This window comes from Homo sapiens, chromosome 7, assembly GCF_000001405.40.
Source record: "Homo sapiens chromosome 7, GRCh38.p14 Primary Assembly".
Lineage (NCBI taxonomy): Eukaryota > Metazoa > Chordata > Mammalia > Primates > Hominidae > Homo > Homo sapiens.
In genome coordinates this window covers 152,032,760-152,058,363 of record NC_000007.14, presented here as the reverse complement: position 1 = coordinate 152,058,363, position 25,604 = coordinate 152,032,760, and the positions used below count along the sequence as shown (strand labels likewise).

Genomic DNA, 25,604 nt, shown 5'->3' with positions numbered 1-25,604 from the left:
CAAAAAAACAAAACAAAACAAAACAAAACAAAAAGAACTTGCCACAGCCATCCTAACCTTCAGGAAGCATCAGCAGGCATCAATGTTAAGGCAAGACTCTCACCAGCAAAAAGATTACCACTCACTGAAGGCTCAGATGATCATTAGCATTTTTGAACAATAAAGCATTTTTAAAATTAAGGCATGCACATTGGGCTTTTTTTTTAAGCTATAATGCTATTGCACACTTAAAAGACTACGGTATAGTGTAAACATAACTTTTATATGCACCCCCCCAAAAAATGTGTGTGATTCACTTTGTGATAGTCCCTTTATTGCAGTGGCTCAGAACCGAACCCACAGTATCACCAGCATATGCCTGTATTTCTCAAAACTGTCAGGGTCATCAAAAACGAGGAAAGTGTGAGAAACTGTCACAGCCAAGAAGAGCCTAAGGAGACACAATGACCAAATACAGTGTGGTATCCTGCATGAGAGCCTTAGCTTTTACCTATTGTCCTTAGAACAGCAAAAGCACATTAGGTAAAAACTAAGAAAATCTGAATACAGTATGGACATTAGCATTAACTGAAATACACGTACCATATTAATGTAAGATGTTAATAACAGGGGAAATTGGATATGGGATATGTGGGAATTCTCTACTATCTTCACAATATTCTGTAAATCTAAGGCTACGCTAAAACTAAAAGTTTATTTTAAAAAGAACGGGGGTCAGGACATAGATTATTTTGCATCACCAAAATCATCTAATTCTGGCCGGGCACGGTGGTTCACACCTACAATCCCAGCACTTTGGGAGGCTGAGGCGGGTGGGTCATTTGAGGTCAGGAATTTGAGACCAGCCTGGCCAACATGGTGAAACCCTATCTCTACTAAAAATACAAAATTTAGCCGGGCATGGTAGCAGGCGCCTGTAATCCCAGCTACTTAGGAGGCTGAGACAAGAGAATAGCTCAAACCTGGGAGGCAGAGGTTGCAGTAAACCGAGATGGCACCACTGCACTCCAGCCTGGGCAACAGAGTGAAACTCCATCTCAAAAAAAAAAAAAAGGAAAAATCATCTAATATCTGAGATTTGCTTCAATTAACCAAGAAGGGCAGGGCTATAGGTTAAAAAAAAAATTACTAATAGATTTTTTAAAATCTATTACTTTCTTCATGTCTGAAAATTTCCATGATATGCTTTTTAAAAAAGAAAGTATCTGGGCTAGGTGCAGTGGCTCATGCCTGTAATCCCAGTACTTTGAGAGGCCCAGCAGGCACACAGCTTGAGCCCAGGAATTCAAGACTGGCCTGGGCAACATCGCAAAACCCTGTCGCTACAAAGAACACCAAAAAAAAAAAAAAAAAAAAAAATAGCTGGGCATGCTGGCACACACCTGTGGTCCCAGCTACTTGGGAGGCTGAGGTGGAAGGATCACTTGAGCCTGGGGAGGTCAAGGCTGCAGTGAGCCAAGTGATCATGTACTGCACTCCAGCCTGAGTAGGTGAAGCAAGAACCTGTCTCAAAAAAAAAAAAAGTATCTGACCCAACAAACTACCGTTCCTTTAACCCTGACACCTGACACCCAGGTGCAGGGTTCTGTATGCATATTGGTTTCTAGAGGTTATAATGTGTCCACATGATTTAGTTGAGTCTTGTCCATGGAGTCAAAGGACACAGCCTCCAGAGTCCATTCTCATGGGTTTGGTGTGTGTCTCTGTATATGTTAACTATTTTCTTTTTACTTCTGCTTCTTCATTATTTAATACAAATTTCATTGTAATGTTACAATGTAGTCTCTAGGTAAGGGAATGCTCACATGGACATGTGTGTAGAAGGGTGTGTAGACATGCAGAGTAGTCTGAGGATGGATTTTGCCAGTGGTTAAGTTGTAGTCTCTTCACTCCAAGTCCACTTTCTATACTCTACTCCAGTGGTTCTCACCCAAGGGATAGGATACTTGGTAATTTCTGGGAAAACGTGGCAACCCGCGGGAACTTTAGGCAGTGTCTGAAGACATTTTTGGTTGCCATACCTGGCGAGATCCTATTAACATCCATTGGGTAAATGCCCCAGATGCTGCACATCCTAAAATGCACAGAACAGTCCTCAAAAACAAAGAATTATCTGGTCCAAATGTCCATAGTGCCAAGTCTCAGAAACCCTGTTCTGTGATGCTGGGGCTGGATTCTAAACGGCATTTTCCAAACTACCGATAAATGTGACAACTTGGATGAATCAAGGGAATTATGCTGACTGAAAAAATCTAATCCTAAAAGCTTACTTACTGTATGATTCCATTTATATAACATCCTTCACATGACAAAATTATAGAAACAGAGAACAAATTAGTGATTGCCACGAACTGAGGACAACAGGGATTTGGGGGGTTGTGGAAGGGGGAAGATGGGTGTAGGACGTCAATATTCTGGTTTTAATATTACAGTATACTTTTGCAAGATATTACCATTGGGGGAAATTAGGTAAAGGGTACACAAGATCTCTTGATATTATTTCTTATAATTACATGTGAATCTACAATTATCACAAAACAAAATGTTTTATTTTAAAAAGAAGAATTTTTAGTTCCCATGATGCAAGATTTTAGAAGTCCAATCTTGTCGGTAAGGAAATGCTAATGACTTTAATATTTTTGTAAGATTCAATATTGAGTTTATATACTTTATAGAATAAGATAGTAATAAGCACCAATTCTAGTTTTTGAGAAATATTTAATTTAAAAAGTATCCTCTTAACAAAAAGTACCAAATACCTGGTACTTTGTGTGTATATATATATATGTATATATACACACACACACACACACACACACACACACACACACACACACACACACGCTTTATATATACCAAATACCTCGTAACTTATTATGAAATGAGAAGTCAGAATTTTCTGGAAACACTTTGGAGACAGAATAAATTACCTAGCAATTTATAAATATAACATCAGATAATAAAAGTGAATTGCTAGCCATTTATAAAATGCATTTCATACAAAATTATGAATTCCATAAATGAGTTTAAGAAAATATCTGCTGGTTTGCTTCCTCCCACTCCATCCCACAGGAGATTATTTGGCATCTTTTATGGGATGAATTGTGTTTTCCTAAAAATTCATGTTGAAGTCCTAACCCCCAGTACCTCAGAGTGTAACTGTATTTACAGATAGAGTCTTTAAAGAATAGTTAAATTAAAATGAAGCCATTAGGCTGAGCCCTAGTCAAATAGGACTGGTGTCTTTATAAGAGGAGGAAATCTGAACACATACCAATGGAATTCTGCCCCCGCGCTGCCTTTGGACTCAAATTGCAACAGCAACTCCTCCCTGTGTCTCTGGCCTGCTCCACAGATTTCAGATTTGCTAGTCTCCACACACTCCTAACAATCGTTTAAGTCAGTTCCTTAAAATAAATCTGTGCGTGTGCATTTGTGTGTGTGTATACACACATCCTATGGGTTCTGTTTCTCTGGAGAACCCTAACAAACACAGCATCCTTTCCAATAGCATGAATAGGCTCAGGGATTGAGTAACATGAACATGCCAAGCTCAGTGGCTCACGCCTGTAGTCCTAGCACTTTGGGAGGCTGAGGTGGGCGGATCGCTTGAGCCCAGGAGTTCAAGACCAGCCTGGGCAACATGGTGAAACCCTGTCTCTACAAAAGTACAAAAAAAAAAAAATTAGCCAGACATGGTGCTGTGCACCTGTGTTCCCAGCTACTCAGCGGACTGCAGCAGAAGGATCACTTGAGCCCACTAAATCAAGGCTGCAGTAAGCCATGACCATAGCCACTGCACCACTTCTGCCAGGGAAACAGCATGAGACCCTGCCTCAAAAAAAAAAAAAAAAAAAAAAGACAAGAAAAAAATTCATTAAAACTATAAACTTCATGTTATCTACATTTTACCACAATTAAAAAAAATGGAAAGATCACTGTGCAGGAAGGTGTACAGGAAGGAGCAAAAAAAAAAAAAAAGTGAGGTAGACCTTTTTACTATCCTGAAGATTTTTAAGTTAACTGATCAATAGATTGTAAGGATAATATATGCTTTCTCTTTTAAAATACAATTTATAATGAAGTTCCCTTGTCTTTTTACCAACTCTTTCCAAGTTTCTAAAAATATATTGAAAACTAAAGAAAACATTTACAAATATTAATCTTAAAAATCAATTAAAGCTATTACTATAAGTCAAAAGGTGATGGGCAAAATTAAAAAGCAAAAGGACAAAAATAGAAAAAATATCTATAGCAAATGAGTCATGGGATTAGATAAATGAATAAAGTATTAGATTAATGGAACAAGTATATTAAAAAGACTATTCACTAGAGAAACATACAAGGAAATACATTGGAAAAGTCTTCAGTCTCAATATAATTAGCAAAAACAAGCAAATAAAAACAAGATACTATTTTCTAACAAAAACTAGGAAAGTTTTTCTAAATACTTACATTCAAAGTATAGTAGTTAAATGATACACTTATCAATGATGAAATTATAAATTGCAAGGTTTATTTATTTTTGTGCAGACAAAAGGTTTATTTATTTATGTTGCTCAGGCTGGTCTCAAACTCCTGGCCTCAAGTGATCCTCCCACCTTGGCCTCCCAAAGTGCTGGGATTATAGGCTTGAGCCACCCAGCCAAAGTGCAGACAGCTTTTTAAAAGCAGTCTGACAACATCATGAGGGCCTCGGAAACCGTTACACATTTTGGTCGGTAATCTTTTTCTCTAAGGAAAAAAATCGTAAAGAAATAATAAATCAGGTGGAAAACTTTAGCATATCCTGAAGCAAACTTCAAAGTGTGCTACAATAAAGATATAAGCAAACTATATGGAATGAGGATGCAGACATTAATTTTGTCTGAAACACTTGAAGATGATTTCTTAGATAAGTTGAGATTTAAGTGTTGGCTTTAAGGATTAAAATTCCAATGGCCAAATACTGAAATATTTCAAGGAGAAAGTTCAAGTCTTGGGAAACTGCAACCTGTACATTTTCAGTTTTCCAAAGAGAAAAGCAAGTAGAATGATTGGCTGTAGTAATGAATACAGATGGATCACGGAGCAGGATAAGGTTACTGGAAGGTAATTAATTATATGAAGACAGGAAGGGGATCTGATGCTGAGGATGAGAAGAATTAACTTGTTCTGCATGCAAAAAGGGTATTGTCTTTAAGCAAATATATCTTAGGGAGAAAATTCTAGCAGCTGTGTGGAAAATGATTTGGAACAGAGGGAAAAAAAATCTAGAACCAAGAAATATAGTTAGAAAAATTCAAGAAAGACGCTCTCATAGCATGATTTAGAACTGTGAAAGTGAGTGCAAAGGAGGACCAGCAGGAGAACTGCCCGCACTCGTCAACTTTACAGGGCATGGGCCCCCAAGGGACAAAGGGATAATAAAATCAATATACAGCTTTCAAGCCTTAGTGACAGGGACCACGGAGAGAATGGGCTTGAGAGGATTAACAGAAGATGAATGTTGTTTTAGACATGTCACATTTGAGAGAACACTGATATGGAAATGCCTATGAGATTCAAGTTCAAATGTAGGCCTGACAGAGGTGTTTAAAATCAAAAGGATAGTTTAAGTTACACGAAAATAATAGCAAAGGAGAGTTTAAGTAACTGAACCTCTGGGAACATGTACATTTAAGGACTGTGTGGAGGAGGAAGAACCCAGGAAGGGCCTGAGAAGGATTACAAAGCAGAAGAATAAGAGGGTCTATCGACAGCAATGTGAGGTGCCACAAAGATTTATAGAGAAGCTAAGACAGGTGAGAAGAGAGGTAGAGCCATCAGATTTAGCAACTAGTAAGGTACGAAGATCTTTAAGAAAGCAGTTTTTAAAATGTGAAGAAGAGTTTGTCAGTTCCTCAATATGTTAAACATGGAACTGCCATATAACCCAGCAGTGCCACTCCACTATATATAGGTATACTGTATAAATATATACAAATATATAGTGTATACATATACAATATACTTTTGAGTATATAGTATACTCAAAAGAATTGAAAACGGGTCAGATACCTGTGAACACATGTTCACAGCAACAGTATTCCCAATAGCCAAAAGGTGGAAACAATCCAATATCCTAGGGGATGAATGGATAAGCAAACTGTGATATATACACACAATGGAATATTATTCAGCCATAAAAAAGAATGAAGTATAATGCATGTTACAGCATGGATGAATCTTGAAAACATTATGTGAAATAAATCAGACACAACAGGATAAATACCGTACAATTCTGCTTATATGAGGTATCTAGAATACGCATATTCACACAAACAGAAAGGGGCTGGGAAAATGGGGAATTATTGCTTAATGGTTACAGATTTCTGTTTGGGGTAATGAAAAAGTTTTGGTGATAGTGACAAAATACTGTGAATGGACTTAATGCCACTCAATTATACAGTTAAAAATAGTTAAAATGATAAATTTTACATTATGTATATTTTACCACAACAAAAAGCGCAGTAGAACTTTTTACAAGGAACAGCAAAGAAATTGTCAGAGTGAAGAACAGACACTTACTGCTTGATAACATTTAACTTGAAAAGTTCGAGTGATACACACTGAGCATAAAGAGAGGTTTTTCTATTTCCTATTTTTGCTTAGGCAGAGTAGATCTCAAAATATAGTATTTCTGGGGAAAAGGAAAACATGATTTTTTAAAATTCTGAAGAGTCTACCCTACATCTGTGATTTGGGGGAGGAGAGTAATACCAGAATATTTTGGTGAGTGCAGAGTAGTATGAAAAGCATATTCCAAATTACAATACCATTTTATGTTTGGAAAACCAACCAACCAACTGTTCTCATAATGTGAAGTAGAAAGGAATAGACCAAATCTTCCTTGATGCTAAAAATAAGCAAAACTAGTCCATCACGAGCATATTAATATCCCTCAAGAGGTAAAGTCTACCAGAATTGGAGGGTGGGGGCCTTGATATTTTTCTATTTATCCCAACAGCATTCATTTTAAAAATATATGAAGTTGTACAAGACAAATAACCCAATTTCTTTAACAAACATATTGCAAAGAAAAAAAAAGAAACTTAAGAGGCATATCAACCAAATAAATGTGGATCTGGTCAAAATCCCGGCTGGCACAAACTACTGAAAAAAAAAAAAAAAAAAAAAAAAAAACAACCAGATATAATTCTAGGAGGAAAGGCAGAGCCAGATGGCCAAATGGAAGCCTCCACCAATCATCTTCCCAAATTAAACAACAATCCACACAACAAAGCACCTTCATAAGAACTAAAAATCAGGTGAGCAATCACATGGTTTTAACATAATATCACTGCAAGAGGCACTGAAGAGGATAAAGTCGTGAATTGCTGACACCACCCCTCTCCCATTCCTGTGGCACAGAAAGAGAATCTCTGTGTTTGGGGGAGGGAGAGGGCAGGGATTGTAGGGCTTTCACATCGGAACTCAGTGCTGCCCTGTCACAGTGGAAAGCAAAAGGGGGCAGAATTCAGCTGGCGCCCACAGAGGAAGCATTTAGAGCTGTAGCCAGAGGGGAATTGCCCATCCTGGTGGTGGAAACTCAAGTTCCAGCAAGACTTACCACCATGGGCTAAACTGCTCTGGGATTCAAAATAAACTTGAATAGCAGCCCAGACCACAAAGACTGCAATTCCTGGGCAAGTCTTGGTGCTGGGCTGGGCTTGGAGCCAATGGACTTGGAGGGCACGCAGCCCAGTAAGACACCAGCAGGACCACCAAGGGAGTGCTTGCACCACCCCTCCCTCAACCCCAGGCAGTGCAGCTCGCAGCTCCAGGGGAGACTCTTTCCTTCCACTTGAGGAAAGGAGACGGAAGAGTAAACAGGATTTTCTCTTACAACTTGGACACTAGCTCTGCCACAACAGAACAGGGCACCAGGCAAAGTCCTGAAGCTCCCATTCCAGACCCTGGACACCAAATGTCCCAGATAACATTTCTAGACACAGCCTGGGCTACAAGGGAACCTGCTACCTTGAACGGAAGGACCTAGTACTGGCAGGATTTATCACCTGCTGAATAAAGAGCGCTTGGGCCCCAAATCATCAGCAGTGGTAACCAGGCCATACTCATCATGGACCTTTGGGTGAGACTCAGAGACGTGCTGGCTTCAGGTGTGACCCAGCACACTCCCAGATGTGGTGGCTACAGAAAGGGACTTCTGCTTGAGAAAAGGAGAGGGAAGAGCAAAGGGGACTTTGTCTTGCAGCCTAGGTATCAGTGTGGCCACAGTGGGGTAGAGCACCAAGCGGGCCCTTGGGGTCCTTGATTTCAGGCCTTGGCTCTTGGATGGTATTTCTGGACTTGTCCTGGGCCAGAGGGGAGCCTGCTGCCCCGAAGGGAGAGTCTCAGGCCTGGCAGCATTCACTACAAGCTGACTGAAGAGCCCTTGGGCCTTGAATGAACACTGGCAGTAGCCAGGCAGTACTTGCCATGAACCTAGGACAGTGGCAGCTAAGGGGGAGACTCCTCTGCTCATGAAAAAGGGAGGGAGGACTGGGAAGGCTTGGGTGCCAGCTCAGCCGCAGTAGAATAGAGCACCAGGTAGATTCCTAAGGTTTCCAACTCCAGGACCTGGCTCCAGGATGGCACCACTGGACCTAAGACTGAGGGGAGCTTGCCATCCTGAAGGAAAGGACATAAGCCTGGCTGGTTTTACTACCTGCTGATTATAGAGCCTTAGGGCCTTGAGCAAATATAGGCAGTAGCCACAGTGGTTACCAAGGGCCTTGGTTGAGACCTGGTGTTGTGCTGGCTTCAGGTCTGCCCCAGTGTAATCTCAGTGGTGGTGGCCACAGCAGTGCTTGTTTCACCACTCCCCCAGCTCCAGGAAGCTCAGCAGAGACTCCATTTGTTTAGGAGAGAGTAAGGAAAGACAAAAAGCATCTCTACCTGGTAATCCAGAGAAATCTTCTAGATCTTATCTAAGACCATCAAGGCAGTGCCTCTATAAGTCTAAAAGAGCCACTGTGTTACTGGGCTTGGGGTGTCATCTAAGGCAGATATGGCAACAATGACGAAAAATTTACATCACAACATCCAAGTTCCTTTGAATATATGGAAAGTCTTTCCAGGAAGGATGGGTACAAAAAGTCCAGACTGTGAAGACTACGATAAATACCTAACTCTTCAATGCCTAGGAACCAACAAACATCCTCAAGCATCAAGATGATTCCGGAAAACATGACCTCACCAAATGAACTAAATAAGGCATCAGCAACCAATCTTGGAGAGCTAGATATGTAACCTTTCAAAAAAATAATTCAAGATAGCTGTTTTGAGGAAACTCAACAAAACTAAAGATAACACAGAGAAGGAATTCAGAATTCTATCAGATAAATTTAACAAGAGATTGAAATAATTAAGAATCAAGTAGAAATTCTGGAGCTATAAAATGCAACTAACATACTGAAGAATACATCAGTCTCTTAACAGCTGAACAGATCAAGCAGAAGAAGGAATTAGTGAACTTGAAGACAGGCCATTTGAACATACAGAGTCAGAAGAGACAAAAGAAAAAAACAAGAATGAAGCACACCTACAAGATCTAGAAAACAGCCTCAAAAAGGCAAACTTAAAAGTTGTTGCCCCTTCCTGGCTAACACAGTGAAACCCCGTCTCTACTAAAAATACAAAAAAATTAGCCAGGCGTGGTGGTGGGTGCCTGTAGTCCCAGCTACTCTGGAGGCTGAGGCAGGACAATGGCATGAACCTGGGAGGTGGAGCTTGCAGTGAGTTGAGATCGCACCACTGCACTCCAGCCTGGGTGACAAAGTGAGACTCCGTCTCAAAAAAAAAAAGAAAAAGAAAAAGAAAAGTTGTTGACCTTAAAGAGGACGTAGACAGACAGTGGGGGTAGAAAATTAATTCCAAGAGACAATAACAAAGAACATCCCAAACCTAGAGGAAGATATCAATATTTAAGTATGAGAACATCAAGCAGATTTAACCCAAATAAGACTGCTTCAATGTATTTAACAATCAAACTCCCAAAGGTCAAACATAAAGAAAAAATCCTAAAAGCAGCAACAAAAAAGAAACAAATAACATATAATGGAGCTCCAATATGTCTGGCAGCAGATTTCTCAGTGGTAGCCTTAAAGGCCAGGAGAGTGGCCTATTTAAAGTGCCGAAGGAAAAAACTTTTATCTTAGAATACTATATCCCGCAAAAATATTCTTCAAACATGAAGGAGAAATAAAGGTCTTCCAGAGAAACAAAAGCTGAGGGATTTCATCAACACTAGACCTATCTTAAAAGAAATGCCAAAGAGAGTTCTTAAATCTGAAAGAAAAGGACATTAATGCACAATAAGAAAGTGTCTGAAGGTACAAAACTCAGTGGTAATAGCAAGTACACAGAAAAACACAGCATATTAGAGTACCGTCATTGTGGTGTGTGAGCCATACATGTCTTGAGTAGAAAGACTAAAAGACGAACTGATCAAAAATAATTACTACAACAAGTTTTCAGGTCATAGACAATACAATAAGATATAAATAGAAACAACAAAAAGTTTAAAAGCAGGGAATGGAGTTAAAATGCAGATGTTGTTAAAATGTAATGAAGGTAAAATATATTTATTTACTTATTTATATATAGAGTATACATACTTGTGTGTGTGCGCACACACACACACACACACACACGGTGTCACTGTTGACCAGGCTAGAGTGCAGTGGTGCAATCACAGCTCACTGCAGCCTCAACCTCCTGGGCTCAAGCAATCCTCATACCTCAGCCTCCCAAGTAGCTGGGACTATAGGTGTGCACTAACATGCCTGGTTAATTTTTGTATTTTTTTGTAGAGATGGGGTTTCACCATGTTGCCCAAGCTGTTTTGTTTGTTTTGTTTGTTTGTTTGTTTGTTTTGAGATGGAGTCTCCCTCTTGTCGCCCAGGCTGGAGTGCAATGGTGTGATTTTGGCTCACTACAACCTCCGCTTCCCAGGTTCAAGTGATTCTCCTGCCTCAGTCTCCCAAGTAGCTGGGATTACAGGCACCACACCCAGCTAATTTTTGTATTTTTAGTAGAGATAGGGTTTCACCATGTTAGCCAGGCTGGTCTTGAACTCCTGACCTCAAATGATCCCCCAGCCTCGGCCTACCAAAGTGCTGGGATTACAGGTGTGAACCACCGTGCCCAGCCCCTAGGCTGGTCTTGAACTTCTGAGTTCAAGCAATCCACCCACCTCAGCCTCCCAAAGTGCTGGGATTACAAACATGAGCCACTGCACCTGGCCAACATGTAGTTTTTATTAGTTTTCTTTTTGCTTGCCTCTTTGTTTAGACAATCAGTGTTAAGTTGCCATTGGTTTAAAATTGTTATAAGATACTATTTTCAAGCCTTGTGGTAACCTCAAATCTAAAAACATATGATAGATACACAAAAAATAAAATGCAAGAAATTAAAACATACCACCAGAGAAAATCACCTTCACTAAAAGGAAGACAGGAAGGAAGGTTAAGAAGGAAGCAGACCACAAAACAACCAGAAAACAAATAATAAAAAGGCAGCAGTAGGACCTTACTTATCAGTAATAACATTGAATGTAAATGGACTAACTCCCCAGTCAAAAGACACAGAGTGGCTGAATGGATAAAAAAGCAGACCCAACAACCTGTTGCCTACAAGAAACATACTTAACCTATAAAGACACACAGACTGAAAACAAAAGAATGAAAAAAGATATTCCATGCAAATGGAAACCAAAAAAGAGCAGGAGTAGCTATATTTATATCAAACAAAATGGATCTCAAGAAAAAACTATAAAGAGACAAGGTCATTATATAATGATAAAGAACTCAGTTCAGCAAGAGACTATAACAACTGTGAATATATACGCACCCAATACTAGAGCACCCAGATACATAAAGCAAATATTATTAGAGCTAAAGAGAGAGATAGATCCCAATACAATAACTGAAGACTCCCAATGCTTCATTTTCAGCATTGGACAGATCATCCAGACAAAAAATCAACAAAGATATATCAGACTTAATCTGTACTACTGACCAAATGGACCTAATAAATACTTACAGGGCATTTCATTCAATGGCTGCAGAATATGCATTCTTCTCCTCAACACATAGATCATCCTCAAGGATAGACCATATGTTAGGTCTATCCTTGAGGTCTAAAAGCAAGTTTTTAAAAATTCAAACAAACTGAAATTATATCAAGTATCTTCTCCGACCACAACAGAATAAAACTAGAATCAATTACAAGAAGAATTTGGGAAACTATACAAACACATGTAAATTAAACAATATGCACCTGAATGACCAGTGGGTCAATAAAGACATTAAGAAGGAAATTTTAAGATTTCTTTAAACAAATGATAATGGAAACAACATACCAAAACCTATGGGATATAGTGAAAGCAAAACTAAGAGGAAAGTTTATAGCAATAAGCACCTACATCAAAAAAGTAGAAAAACTCCAAATAAACCACCTAATTATGCATCTTAAAGATGCAGAGAAAGCAAGAAGAAAAGCAAGAGGAAACCAACCCAAAATTAGAAGAAAAGCAATAAAAAAGATCACAGCAGAAATAAAAGAAATTAAGATGAAGAAAACAATACAAAAGATCAACAAAACAAAAAGTTCATTTTTTGAAAAGATAAATACAATTGACAAACCACTAGCCAGACTATGAAAAAAAAGAGAAGCCCCAAATCAATAAAATCAGAGCTGAAAAAGGAGACATTACAATCAATATCACAGAAACTCAAAAGATCATGAGAGGCTACTATGAGCAACTATATGCCAATAAATTGGAAAACCTAGAGAAAATGGAAAAATTCCTAGATACATATAACCTGCCAAGACTGAACTATTAAGAAATCCAAAACTTGAACAGACCAATAGCAAGTAACAAGATCAAAGCTGTAATAAAAAGTCTCCCAGCAAGGAAAACCCCAGGACCTAATGGCTTCAATGCTGAATTTTATCAAACTTTTAAAGAACTAATACCAATCCTACCGAAACTATTCCAGAAAAACAAAGGAGGAAGGAATACTTTCAAACTCATTCTGCGAGGCCAATATTACCCTGATACCAAAACCAGACAAAGACACATCAAAAAAATAAAACTACAGGCCAGTATCCCTGATGAACACTGATAAAAAAAAATCCTCAACAAAATACTAGCAAACTGAATTCAATGACACATTAAAAAGATCATTCATCATGACTAAGTGGGATTTATCCCAGGGATGCAAGGATGGTTCAACATACACAAATCAATCAATATGATACATCAAATCAACAGAATGAAGGATAAAAACCATATGATCGTTTCAATTGATGCTGAAAAAGAATTTGGTAAAATTAAACATCCTTTCATGATAAAAACCTCAAAAAACCGGGTATAGAAGGAACATACCTCAATAGAATAAAAGCCATATACAATAAACCCACAGTTAGTATCATACTGAATTGGGGAAGACTGAAAGTTTTTCTTCTAAGATCTAGAATGCAAGGATGCCCACTTTCATCACTGTCATTCACCACAGTACTAGAAGTCCTAGCTAGAGCAATCAGACAAGAGAATAAAATAAAGGGCATCCAAATTAGAAAGGAAGAAGTCAAAGTACCCTTGTTTGCAGATGATATGATCTTATATTTGGAGAAATCTAAAGATTGCACCAAAAAACTATTAGAACTGATAAATTCAGTAAAGTTACAGGATACAAAATCAATATACAAATATCAGAGCATTTCTCTAGGCCGACAGCAAACAATCTGAAAAACGAAATCAAGAAAGTAATCCCATTTACAATAGCCACAAATAAAATTAAATACTAGGAATTAACCAAGTGAACTGTTCGGAACAGGCCCCCAAATCTAGTCATAAACAAAATCTCTGCAGCACTGTGACATGCTCATGATGGCCTTGATGCAATGCTGGAAGGCTGTCGGTTTACCAGAATGAGGGCAAGGAACACCTGGCCCACCCAGGGTGGAAAACCCCTTAAGGTGTTCTTAAACCACAAACAATAGCATGAGCGAGCTGTGCCTTAAGGACAAGTTCATGCTGCAGGTAACCAGCCAGAGCCCATCCTTTTATTTTGGCCCATCCCTTTATTTCCCGTAAGGAATACTTACAGTAAATCTTATGACTGCCTTGCTGTCAATAAATAATGTGGGTAAATCTCTGTTCATGGCTCTCAGCTCTGAAGGCTGTGAGACCCCTGATTTCCCATTCCACACTCTATATTTCTGTGTGTGTGTCTTTAATTCCTCTAGCACCACTGGGTTAGGGTCTCCACGACCAAGCTGGTCTCAGCAAGTAATGCCCATACGTGGGGCTCGAACCCAGGTCAAAGGGTCACCAGAGCAACAGTTGGAGAATGTGGAACTAAGCTGGAGGACACCCAAGTACTCTTAAGCAGTCCCTGTGGTAAGAAGGGGAGCTTGGAAGCATCAGGGTAACAATGGGACAAGTGTGGGCTCTGGTTCATTCCACCTTGGAAACTTTTCACACTGATGAGGAGGAAGGAGAGTATAATGAAGTAACAGAGCAGGTTTGTTTGCCAGCTAAAGGTAAAGCGGCAATGGAGGGAGAGGTTCATCCCTACCCTTCTGTACCCCCTCATTATTTTGAAGAAAAAGAGTAGCCTGACCCTCCGGATCTTTCTTTTCCAGATGACACTGGGCGAAAAGTAGTTGCCCCACTGACTGTTCAAGCTGCACCTCAAGCAACAGCTCTCAGTTCTATTCAGGCAGGAATTCAGCAAGCTAGATGAGAGGGTGATTTAGAGGCTTGGCAGTTCCCTGTTAGAGTACACCCCCCAGATAAACAGGGAAATATTATAGCTACATTTGAGCCTTTTCCTTTTAAATTGGGGAAATGCCATGAGGGGCCAGTTCCCGGCCCCATTTCAAACCAGGGCATTTCTGGCTCAGGCCATTCCCTCACCCCTGTACAATGTCTGTCCCCCGCCACAGCCGGTAGTGCTGCAGTAGATTTATGCTGCACAAAAGCTGTGAGCCTTCTGCCTGGGGAATCCCCGCAAAAGGTCCCAACAGGAGCCGGTGGACCCTTGCCAGCGGGGATGACAGGATTACTTCTAGGCAGGTCTAGTTTAAATATAAAAGCGGTACAAGTACAAACAGGAGTCACTGATTCTGATTACAATGGGGAAATTCAAATTGTTACATCTACTTCTGTTCCCTGGAAAGCAAAGCCTGGAGACCATATAGCACAGCTCCTAATTGTGCCGTATGTGGAAATGGGGAAAAGTGAAATTAAATGAACAGGAGGATTTGGAAGCACAAATAAACAAGGCAAAGCAGCTTATTAGGTGAATCAAATTACTGATAAATATCCTACCTGTGAAATAACTATTCAGGGAAAGAAATTTAAAGGTTTGGTAGATACAGGAGCGGACATTTCAATCCTTTCTCTACAGCACTGGCCGTCTGCGTGGCCAATTCCACCCACTCAATTTAACATAGTTGGAGTGGTAAAGCCCCTAAAGTATATCAAAGTAGTTATATTTTGCATTGTGAAGGGCCCGATGGACAACCTGGGACTATTCAACCAATTATAACTTCTGTACCTATAAATTTATGGGGAAGGGATTTATTACAACAATGGGGAACACAAGTTCTAATTCCAGAACAATTATATAGCCCTCAAAGTCAACATATGATGCATGAAATGGGGTATGTCCCTGGCATGGGAACAGGAAAAAATTTGCAAGGTTTGAAGGAACCGCTTCAAGTGGAAAGACAAAGTTCCTGCCAAGGTTTAGGATATCATTTTTGATGGCGGCCATTGTTAAGCCTCCAGAACCTATACCTTTAAAATGGTTAACAGATAAGCCAATTTGGACAGAACAATGGCCGCTGAGTAAAGAGAAACTGGAGGCTTTAGAAGACTTAATTACTCAACAATTAAAAAAGGGACACATAGCTCCAACATTTTCCCCTTGGAATTCTCCAGTTTTCATAATTAAGAAAAAATCAGGTAAACGGAAAATGTTAACTGACTTAAGAGCCATTAATTCAGTTATACAACCTATGGGGACATTACAGCCAAGATTGCCTTCTCCTGCTATGATTCCAAAAAATTGGCCTTTAATAGTCATAGATTTAAAATACTGTTTCTTTACTATCCCCTTAGCTGAGCAGGACTGTGAATGGTTTGTATTTACAATTCTTGCAGTAAACAATCTGCAGCTTAAGCCTGCTAAACGTTTTCACTGGAAAGTGTTGCCACAAGGTATGTTAAACAATTTGCCAGATATATGTAGGGCAAGCAATTGAACCTACTCATAAAAAAATTTCAGTGTTACATTATCCATTATATGCATGATATACTTTGTGCTGCCTCCACTCAAGAAATATTACTCCAATATTATGATCACTTGCAAAATTCAATTTCTCCTGCTGGCTTAATTACAGCTCCTGACAAAATTCAGACTACTACTCCTTATTCCTACTTGGGGACCTTAGTAAATGACACTACCATTGTGCCACAGAAAGTAGCCATACGTAGGGATCAAATGAAAACATTAAATGACTTTCAAAAATTACTAGGGGACATTAATTGGATATGACCTGCTCTAGGCATTCCTACCTATGCCATGAGTAATCTATTTTCTATCCTTAGAGGAGATCCTAGTCTCACTAGCCCTTGGCAATTAACAAAGGAAGCTGAGGCAGAGTTACAGCTGATTGAAAAGCAAGTCCATAAAGCTCAAATAGAATAGATCCAGAGAAGACTCTAGATTTGCTAATTTTTCCAACTCAGCATTCACCTACTGGTGTTACTGTCCAAGAGCTGGACTTAGAATGGCTTTTTCTTCCACATGCTAATTCATGGACTCTAACTCCTTATTTGGATCAAGTCACTACTCTGATAGTGATATAATAGGAAATGGCAGAACTCGGATTGTTAAATTACATGGATATGATCCTGGAAAAATTATTGTCCTCATAAAGGCACAAATACAGCAAGCTTTTATAAATAGTCTTACTTGGCAAACCCATTTAGCTGACTTTGTGGGTATTCTCGATAACCATTTTCCTAAAACAAAACTGTCTGAATTTTTGAACTGGTTTGGTGGAGAGACCCGATAATAAAAAGTTGGGAAATAGGTAAAATAATAACTTGGAGTAGAGGTTATGCTTGTGTTTCTCCAGGACCAAATCAACAGCCAATTTGGATACCATCAAGATACCTGAAACCTTATCATAAGCCAGATGCCAAGGAAGAGATTCCGGAAGGATCCCAAGGATTCCCAGTTGCAGCCATGTCAAGACTGACGCTGAGGAGGACCCCAACTGTCACGAGCAACACCCATCGAACACAGCCACCCACCTGGGGACAGATCGAGAAGCTGCCACAGATGGCGGAAGAAAACCTGAGGAAAGCTGGACAACCAGTCACAATAAGTAATTGGATTCTCCCTAGAATAACTAAATTTAAACCAATTGAAGGTGCTGAGAATGTTTTTACAGATGGGTCTAGCAACGGTAAAGCTTCTTATTCTGGCTCAAAAGGTAAAGTTTTTCAGATGCCCTATGGTTCAGCTCAAAAAGCAGAGCTCGTAGCTGTAATTGAGGTATTGACTGCTTTTAATATGCCTATTAATGTGATTTGATTCTTTATACATGGTTCATTCCACACAGTTAATTGAAAATGCTCAGTTATGATTTCATACAGATGAACAACTGATTACTTTATTTACCCAATTGCAAGCAGCAGTTAGGAGTAGAATGCACCCTTTTTACATCACTCACATTAGGGCTTATACATCTCTTCCAGGACCTTTGACTGAAGGGAATCAAATGGCTGATCGCCTTGTTGCTAAAGTAATATCTAATGCTAGACACTTTCACAATTTAACCCATGTTAATGCCTCTGGTCTCAAACGCAGATACAGCATTACCTGGAAAGAAGCTAAAGCTATTATCCAGCGATGCCCAACTTGCCAAGTGGTGCGTTCCTCATCTTTTACAGGAGGAGCTAATTCTCGAGAACTGGAACCTAATTCTCTTTGGCAAATGGATGTCACACATGTTCCCTCGTTTGGGAGACTAGTTTATGTACATGTATGTGTGGACACCTTTTCTCACTTTGTCTGGGCTACATGCCAATCAGGAGAGTCTTCTGCTTGTGTTAAACGTCACCTCTTGCAGTATTTTGCAGTGGTGGGCATTCCAGCTTCTATTGAAACAGATAATACCCCAGGCTATACTAGCCAAGCTCTAGCTACATTTTTCTCTATATGGAATATTAAACACATTACTGGTATCCCATATAATTCTCAAGGACAAGCCATAGTGGAAAGAATGAATCTCTCCCTGAAACGGCAGTTGCAAAAACAGAAAGGGGGAAATGGATTACAGGACAGCCCGCATACAATTGAATCTAGCATTCTTAACTTTAAATTTTTTGAGCCTGCCTAAAGGCCAGATGCTATCAGCAGCTGAACAGCATCTACAGAAATCAGCTGCAAAGACAGAAGCAGAAAAACTGGTTTGGTGGAGAGACCCAATAACAAAAAGTCGGGAAATAGGTAAAATAATAACTTGGGGTAGAGGTTATGCTTGTGTTTCTCCAGGACCAAATCAACAGCCGATTTGGATACCATCAAAACACCTGAAACCTTATCATAAGCCAGATGCTGGGGAAAAGATTCCAGGAGAATCCCGAGGACCCCCGGTTGCAGCCATGTCAAGACTGACGCTGAGGAGGATGCCAACTGTCATGAGCAACACCCATCGAACACAGCCACCCACCTGGGGACAGATCAAGAAGCTGTCACAGATGGCGGAAGAAAACCTGAGGAAAGCGGGACAACCAGTCACAATGAATAATTTAATGATAGCGGTGATCACCACTGCCTTCAACAAGGGCTGACACAGAGAACAATTACACTTATTGGGCATATTTATCCATCTTGGCTGGCAACAATGCCTGGATGCAATCACTCTATGACACAGTTACACATGCTTTCTGATCTCAGTATTTACCATAATGAATCTGCTCCTACAATTGAGGCATACCACCCTCAAAAACCTATTTATAAATAAAATTGAACCTGGCAAGAAAAAATGAACATACTTGTTTAGGAAAATTGCATTGCAGAACAGGCAGAGGTGCTGTGCAGTGATTCCTATGGAATTGATTGGTCCCCTAGGGGATGTTTAGCTTGAATTGCACCTCAGTCTGCGTGCCATGGCCACACTATGTTCAGCTGGTCTGAACAAAATGGTCAGATGGTAGAAATGGTAAGAAGTATGACAAGAGTTCCTATTATCTGGAACCATGGCAGTATAGTGGCACCTCAACCTCAAATGATATGGCCCATTGTAGGAGCTAAACAAGGATTTGTGGAAATTATTAATAGCTCTTAATAAAATCAAAATTTAGGAAAGAATAAAAAAGCATCTAGAAGGCCACTCTACAAACTTGTCTTTGGATATTGCAAAATTAAAAGAACAAATATTTAAAGCATCACAGCCACACTTGACCTTAATGCCAGGAACTAGAGTGCTCGAAGGAGCTGCAGACAGATTAGCAGCTAGTAACCTATTCAAATGGAGAAAAACACTTGGAAGCTCTGTGATTTCAACAATGATCGTCCTTTTAATCTGTGTTGTCTTTGTGTACTCTGCAGATGTGGATCCTGACTCCTGCAAGAAGTAGCTCACCATGACAAACCTGCCTTTGCTTTTATCACTTTGCAAAACAAAGGGGGACATGTTGGGAACAGGCCCCAAAATCTGGCCATAAACTGGCCCCAAAACTGGCCATAAACAAAATCTCTGCAGCACTGTGACATGCTCGTGATGGCCTTGACGCAATGCTGGAAGGTTGTCGGTTTACCGGAATGAGGGCAAGGAACACCTGACCCACCCAGAGTGGAAAACCACTTAAGGCATTCTTAAACCACAAACAATAGCATAAGCGATCTGGGCCTTAAGGACATACTTATGCTGCAGGTAAGCAGCCAGAGCCCATTCCTTTATTTCTGCCCATCCCTTTATTTCCCATAAGGAATACTTATAGTAAATCTTATGACTGGCTTGCTGTCAATAAATATGTGGGTAAATCTCTGTTCATGGCTCTCAGCTCTGAAGGCTGTGAGGCCCCTGATTTCCCATTCCACACTCTATATTTCTGTGTGTGTGTCTTTAATTCCTCTAGCGCCGCTGGGTAAGGGTCTCCATGACCCAGCTGGTCTCGGCAGTGAATGATCTCTGCAATGAAAACTATAAAATACTGATAAAAGAAATTGAAGAAGACGGGCTGGGCACAGTGGCTCAGACCTGTAATCCAAGCACTTTGGGAGGCTGAGGCAGGCAGCTCACCTGAGGTCAGGAGTTCGAGACCAGCCTGACCAACATGGAGAGACCCCCATCTCTACTAAAATTACAAAAATTAGCCGGGTGTGGTGGTGGGCAACTGTAATCCCAGCTCCTCAGGAGGCTGAGGCAGGAGAATCATGCGAACCCAGGAGGTGGAGGTTGCAGTGAGCCAAGATCACAGCAGTGCACTCCAACCTGGGTGACAAAGCAAGACTCTCTCAAAAGGAAGGAAAAAAAAAATTGAAGACATGCACGCACAAAAAGAAAGATGTTCCACATTCACCAACTGGAAGAATCAATACTGTTAAAATGTCCACACCACCCAAAGCAACCTACAGATTCGATGCAATCCCTATCAAAATACCAATGAACCAAAGACATTCTTCACAGAAATAGAAAAAAAAAATCCTAAAACTTATATGGAATAACAAAAGACCCAGAATAGCCTATGCTATCTGAGCAAAAACAACAGAACTGAAGGAATGACATTACTTGACTTCACATTATCTAACCCCAAATTACAACTTCAAATTATACTAAAGAGCTATAGTAACCAAAATAGCATGGCACCAGCATAAAAACAGACACACAGACCAATGAAACAGAATGGAGAACCCAGAAACAAATCCATACATCTACAGCGAACTCATTTTTGACAGAAGTGCCAAGAACATACATTGGGAAAAGGAGAGTCTCTTCAATAAATGGTGCTGCGAAAACTCGATATACATATGCAGAAGAATGAAACTAGATCCCTATCTCTCACTATACACAAAAATCAAATTGAAATGAATTAAAGACTTAAGACCTCAAGCTATGAAACTACTAAAAGAAAACACTGGAGAAAATCTCCAGAACATTGAACTAGGCAGAGATTTCTGGAGTAATACCCCACCACAGCATACATGGACAAATGGTATCACATCAAGTTAAAAAGCTTCTGTACAACAAAGGAACAACAAAGTGAAGAGAAACCTAGAGACCAGGAGAAAGTATTTGCAAACTATCCATCTGGCAAGGGATGAATAACCAGAATACATAAGAAACTCAAACAATGCTATAGGAAAAAAATCTAATAATCCTATTAAAAAATGAGCAAAGGTCTGAATAGACATTTCTCAAAATAAGACATACAAATAGCAAACAGGTGTATGAAAAGGTGATCAACATCACTGATCAGAGAAATGCAAAACAAAACTACAAGGAGATATCATCTCACCCCAGTTAAAATGGCTTATATCCAAAAGACAGGCAATAATGAATGATGGTGAGGATGTGGAGAAAAGGGAATCCTCATACACCATTGGTGGGAATGTAAATTAGTACAAGCACTATGGAGACCAGTTTGGAGGATCCCCAAAAACTAAAAATAGAGCTACCACGTGACTCAGCAATCCCACTCATAGTATATACCCAAAAGAAAGGAAATCAGTATACCAAAGAGGTCTGCAGTCTCATGTTTCCTGCAGCACTGTTCACAATAGCCAAGATATGGAAGCAACCTAAATGTCCATCAACAAATGAATGGATAAAGAAAACATGGTACATATACACAATGGAGTACTATTCAGCCATAAAAAAAGAATGAGATCCCATCATTTGCAACAACAGGGATAGAACTGGAGGTCATTATGTTAAGTAAAATAAGCCAGGTACACAGAATGACAAACTTTGCCTGTTGTCACTTATTTGTGGAAGCTAAAAATTAAAACAATTGAACTCACGGAGAGAGAGACTAGATAATGGTTACCAGAGGCTGAGAAGGGAGTGAGGGGAGAGACAGTTAATGTATACAAAAATATAGTTAAATAGAATGCATAAGATCTAGTATTTGATAGCACAACAGCATGACTACAGTCAACAAAACTTTATTGCACATTTTAAAGTAACTTTAAAAGAGTATCATTGGGTTGTGAAAGATTCTCCCCCAAGCCTGAAAGCTTAAGGGAATGAATACTTCCTCCCTCTTCAAGCCCAGTCCAAATGCGCAAGGACAGTTGCGCCAGCAGCATGCATCAGCAAGTTAGCAGAAGCAAGAAGAGAGCTGGGCAGAAGACACCCCCTGAAGATCAAGAGGGAGGCCAGCGGGCACTACGCAGCAGCCACATCAGACTGGGACAATTCCTGCTTATAGAGGACTGTAAAACCCCTTCCCCATCCTCACTTGGGGCTGACGCTATTGCCAAGCAGTGAGTACCATCTGACCCCTTTCACTTGCTATTCTGTCCTGTTTTCCCTTAGAATTCGGTGGCTAAATACCAGGCACCTGTCGGCCAGTTAAAAGTGACTAGCGGCCAGTTAAAACTGACTAGCACAGCCGCTGGACTAAAGACACGGGTGTCAGGCTTTCCGGGATAGGGCTCTCTAACAACCCCTGACTCTTCGGAGTTGGGAGTGTTGGTTTGCCTGGAACCAGCTTTCCGCTTTTCCTGTACTTCCGGGCTGAGCCGAGGGTCGACAGAGAGGAAAGCCATTCAGCTCCGGGGTCCTGACAACAAGTTGGTTGACCCTGTGGCCATGAGCAGAACTCTCGAAGTCATGTTGCCCAAGCGAGACTCGCCCATCTATCCTACCTATCCTGACCCTTGCCTCCTGGGTCCTAATGCTTGTCAGAAAAACTTTCTCTTGCCTCTCTTCTCTGAGGCTAGTCCCGCTTCTGGAAACCACTCCCTGTCTCTGGTGCTTTTCTAGTTTCTCCTGTAAGAATCATTTCTAGTATAAACTCCAGGACTCTGTTAACCTTCTTTAGGCACCCGGGCTCACCAATTAGAAAGACATAATTTTTGCCCAAAGCCCCATCAGGGTGGGGGACTGTCTTATCCGGAATTTTAGGATCCCTCCTCAGACTAGCAGGCCTAACAAAAGCTATTCCAGAAGCTAGGATACGGGGAGCTTCAGAAATGACATTCTTGTATTCATATAAGTGCGGACAAAAAGGCATCACTCTTCCAACTCTGGAGATCCCTCCCCTCCCTCAGGATATGGCCCTCCACTTCATTTTTGGGGCATAACATCTTTACAGGAGGGGTAAAGTCCCAATACTAACTGGAGAATGCTTAGGACCCTAACAGGTTTTCGAGAATGCATCAGTAAGGGCCACTAAATCCAATTTTTCTCGGTCCTCTTTGTGGTCTAGGAGGACAGGCAAGGGTGCAGATTTTTGAGAATGCATTGGTAAGGGCCACTAAATCCGACCTTCCTCGGTCCTCCTTGTGGTCTAGGAGGAAAACTAGTGTTTCTGCTGCTGCGTCAGTGAGTGCAACTATTCCCATCCGCAGGGTCCAGGGACCGACCGTTGTGGGTTCTTGGGCAAGAGGTGTTTCTGCTGCTGCATCGGTGAGTGCAACTATTCCGATCAGCAGGGTTCAGGGACCATTGTGGGTTCTTGGGCAGGGGGAGAAACAAACAAACCAAAACTGCGGGCGGTTTTGTCTTTCAGATGGGAAACAATCAGGCATCAACAGGCTCACCCTTGAAATGCATCCTAAGCCACTGGGACCAATTTGACCCGCAAACCCTGAAAAAGAGGTGGCTCATTTTTACCGCACTATGGCCTGGCCCCCATATTCTCTCTCTGATGGGGAAAAATGGCCACCTGAGGGAAGTATAAATTACAATACTATCCTGAAGCTTGACCTTTTCTGTAAGAGGGAAGGCAAATGGAGTGAAACACCTTATGTCCAAGCTTTCTTTTCATTGAAGGAGAATACACAACTATGCAAAGTTTGCAATTTACATCCCATAGGAGGACCTCTCAGCTTACCCCCATATCCTATCCTCCCTATAGCTACCCTTCCTATTAATGATAAGCCTCCTCTAATCTCCCCTGCCCAGAAGGAAATAAGCAAAGAAATCTCCAAAGAACCACAAAAACCCCTGGGCTATCGGTTATGTCCCCTTCAAGTTGTAGGGAGAGGGAATTTGACCCAACTAGGGTACATGTCCCTTTCTCCCTCTCTGATTTAAAGCAGATCAAGGCAGACCTGGGTAAGTTTTCAGATGATCCTGATAGGTACACAGATGTCCTACATGGTCTAGGGCAAACCTTCGATGTCACTTGGAGAGATGTCATGCTACTGTTAGATCAAACCCAGGCCTTTAATGAAAAGAATGCGGCTTTAGCTGCAGCCTGAGAGTTTGGAGATACCTGGTACCTTAGTCAAGTAAATGGCAGAATGACAGCTGAAGAAAGGGACAAATTCCCTACTGGTAAGCAAGCCATCCCCAGTATGGATCCCCACTGGGACCTTGACTCAGATCATGGGGACTGGAGTCGTAAACATCTGTTGACCTGTGTTCTAGAAGGACTAAGGAGAATTAGGAAAAAGCCCATGAATTATTCAATGATGTCTACCATAACTCAAGGAAAGGAAGAAAATCCTTCTGCCTTCCTTAAGTGGCTACAGGAGGCCTTAAGAAAATGTACTCCCCTGTCACCAGACTCACTTGAGAGTCAATTGATTGTAAAATATAAGTTTGTTACCCAATCAGCCGTGGATATCAGGAGAAAGCTCCAAAAGCAAGCCCTGGGCCCTGAACAAAATCTGGAGGCATTATTAAACCTGGCAACCTTGGTGTTCTATAATAGGGACCAAGAGGAACAGGCCCAAAAGGAAAAGCGAGATCAGAGAAAGGCTGCAGCCTTAGTCATGGCCCTCAGACAAACAAACCTTTGGTGGTTCAGAAAGGACAGAAAATGGAGCAGGCCAATCACCCGGTAGGGCTTGTTATCAGTGTGGTTTACAAAGACATTTTAAAAAAGATTGTCCAACGAGAAACAAGCCACCCCCTCATCCATGTCCGCTATGCCGAGGCAATCACTGGAAGGCGCACTGCCCCGGAGGACAAAGGTTCTCTGGGTCAGAAGCCCCCAACCAGATGATCCAACAACAGGACTTGAGGGTGCCTCGGGCAAGCGCCAGCTCATGTCATCACCCTCACTGAGCCCCGGGTACATTTAACCATTGAAGGCCAGGAAATTGACTTCCTCCTGGACACTGGCGTGGCCTTCTCAGTGTTAATCTCCTGTCCCGGACGACTGTCCTCAAGGTCCATTACCATCCGAGGAATCCTGGGACAGCCTGTAACCAGGTATTTCTCCCACCTTCTCAGTTGTAATTGGGAGACTTTGCTCTTTTCACACACCTTTCTTGTCACGCCTGAAAGTCCCACACCCTTATTAGGGAGGGATATGTTAGCCAAAGCTGGAGCTATTATCTACATGAATATGGGGAACAAGTTACCCATTT

At 40.9% G+C, this 25,604-nt stretch overlaps 1 protein-coding gene across 23 annotated transcripts in view, besides 1 other annotated feature; it reads right to left on the bottom strand.

Annotated features, from left to right (window-relative positions):
• The window catches only part of GALNT11 (polypeptide N-acetylgalactosaminyltransferase 11), a 96,667-nt gene that overhangs the window by 63,977 nt on the left and 7,086 nt on the right, over positions 1-25,604 (bottom strand). The window lies entirely within an intron of this gene.
• Positions 19,401-19,902: an enhancer, noted in NCBI's record as "NANOG hESC enhancer chr7:151735547-151736048 (GRCh37/hg19 assembly coordinates)". NCBI's record gives its function as "activates a minimal SCP1, AML or CMV promoter by ChIP-STARR-seq in naive H9 embryonic stem cells {active_cell/tissue: H9 hESC(naive)}" and the evidence as "EXISTENCE:reporter gene assay evidence [ECO:0000049][PMID:30033119]".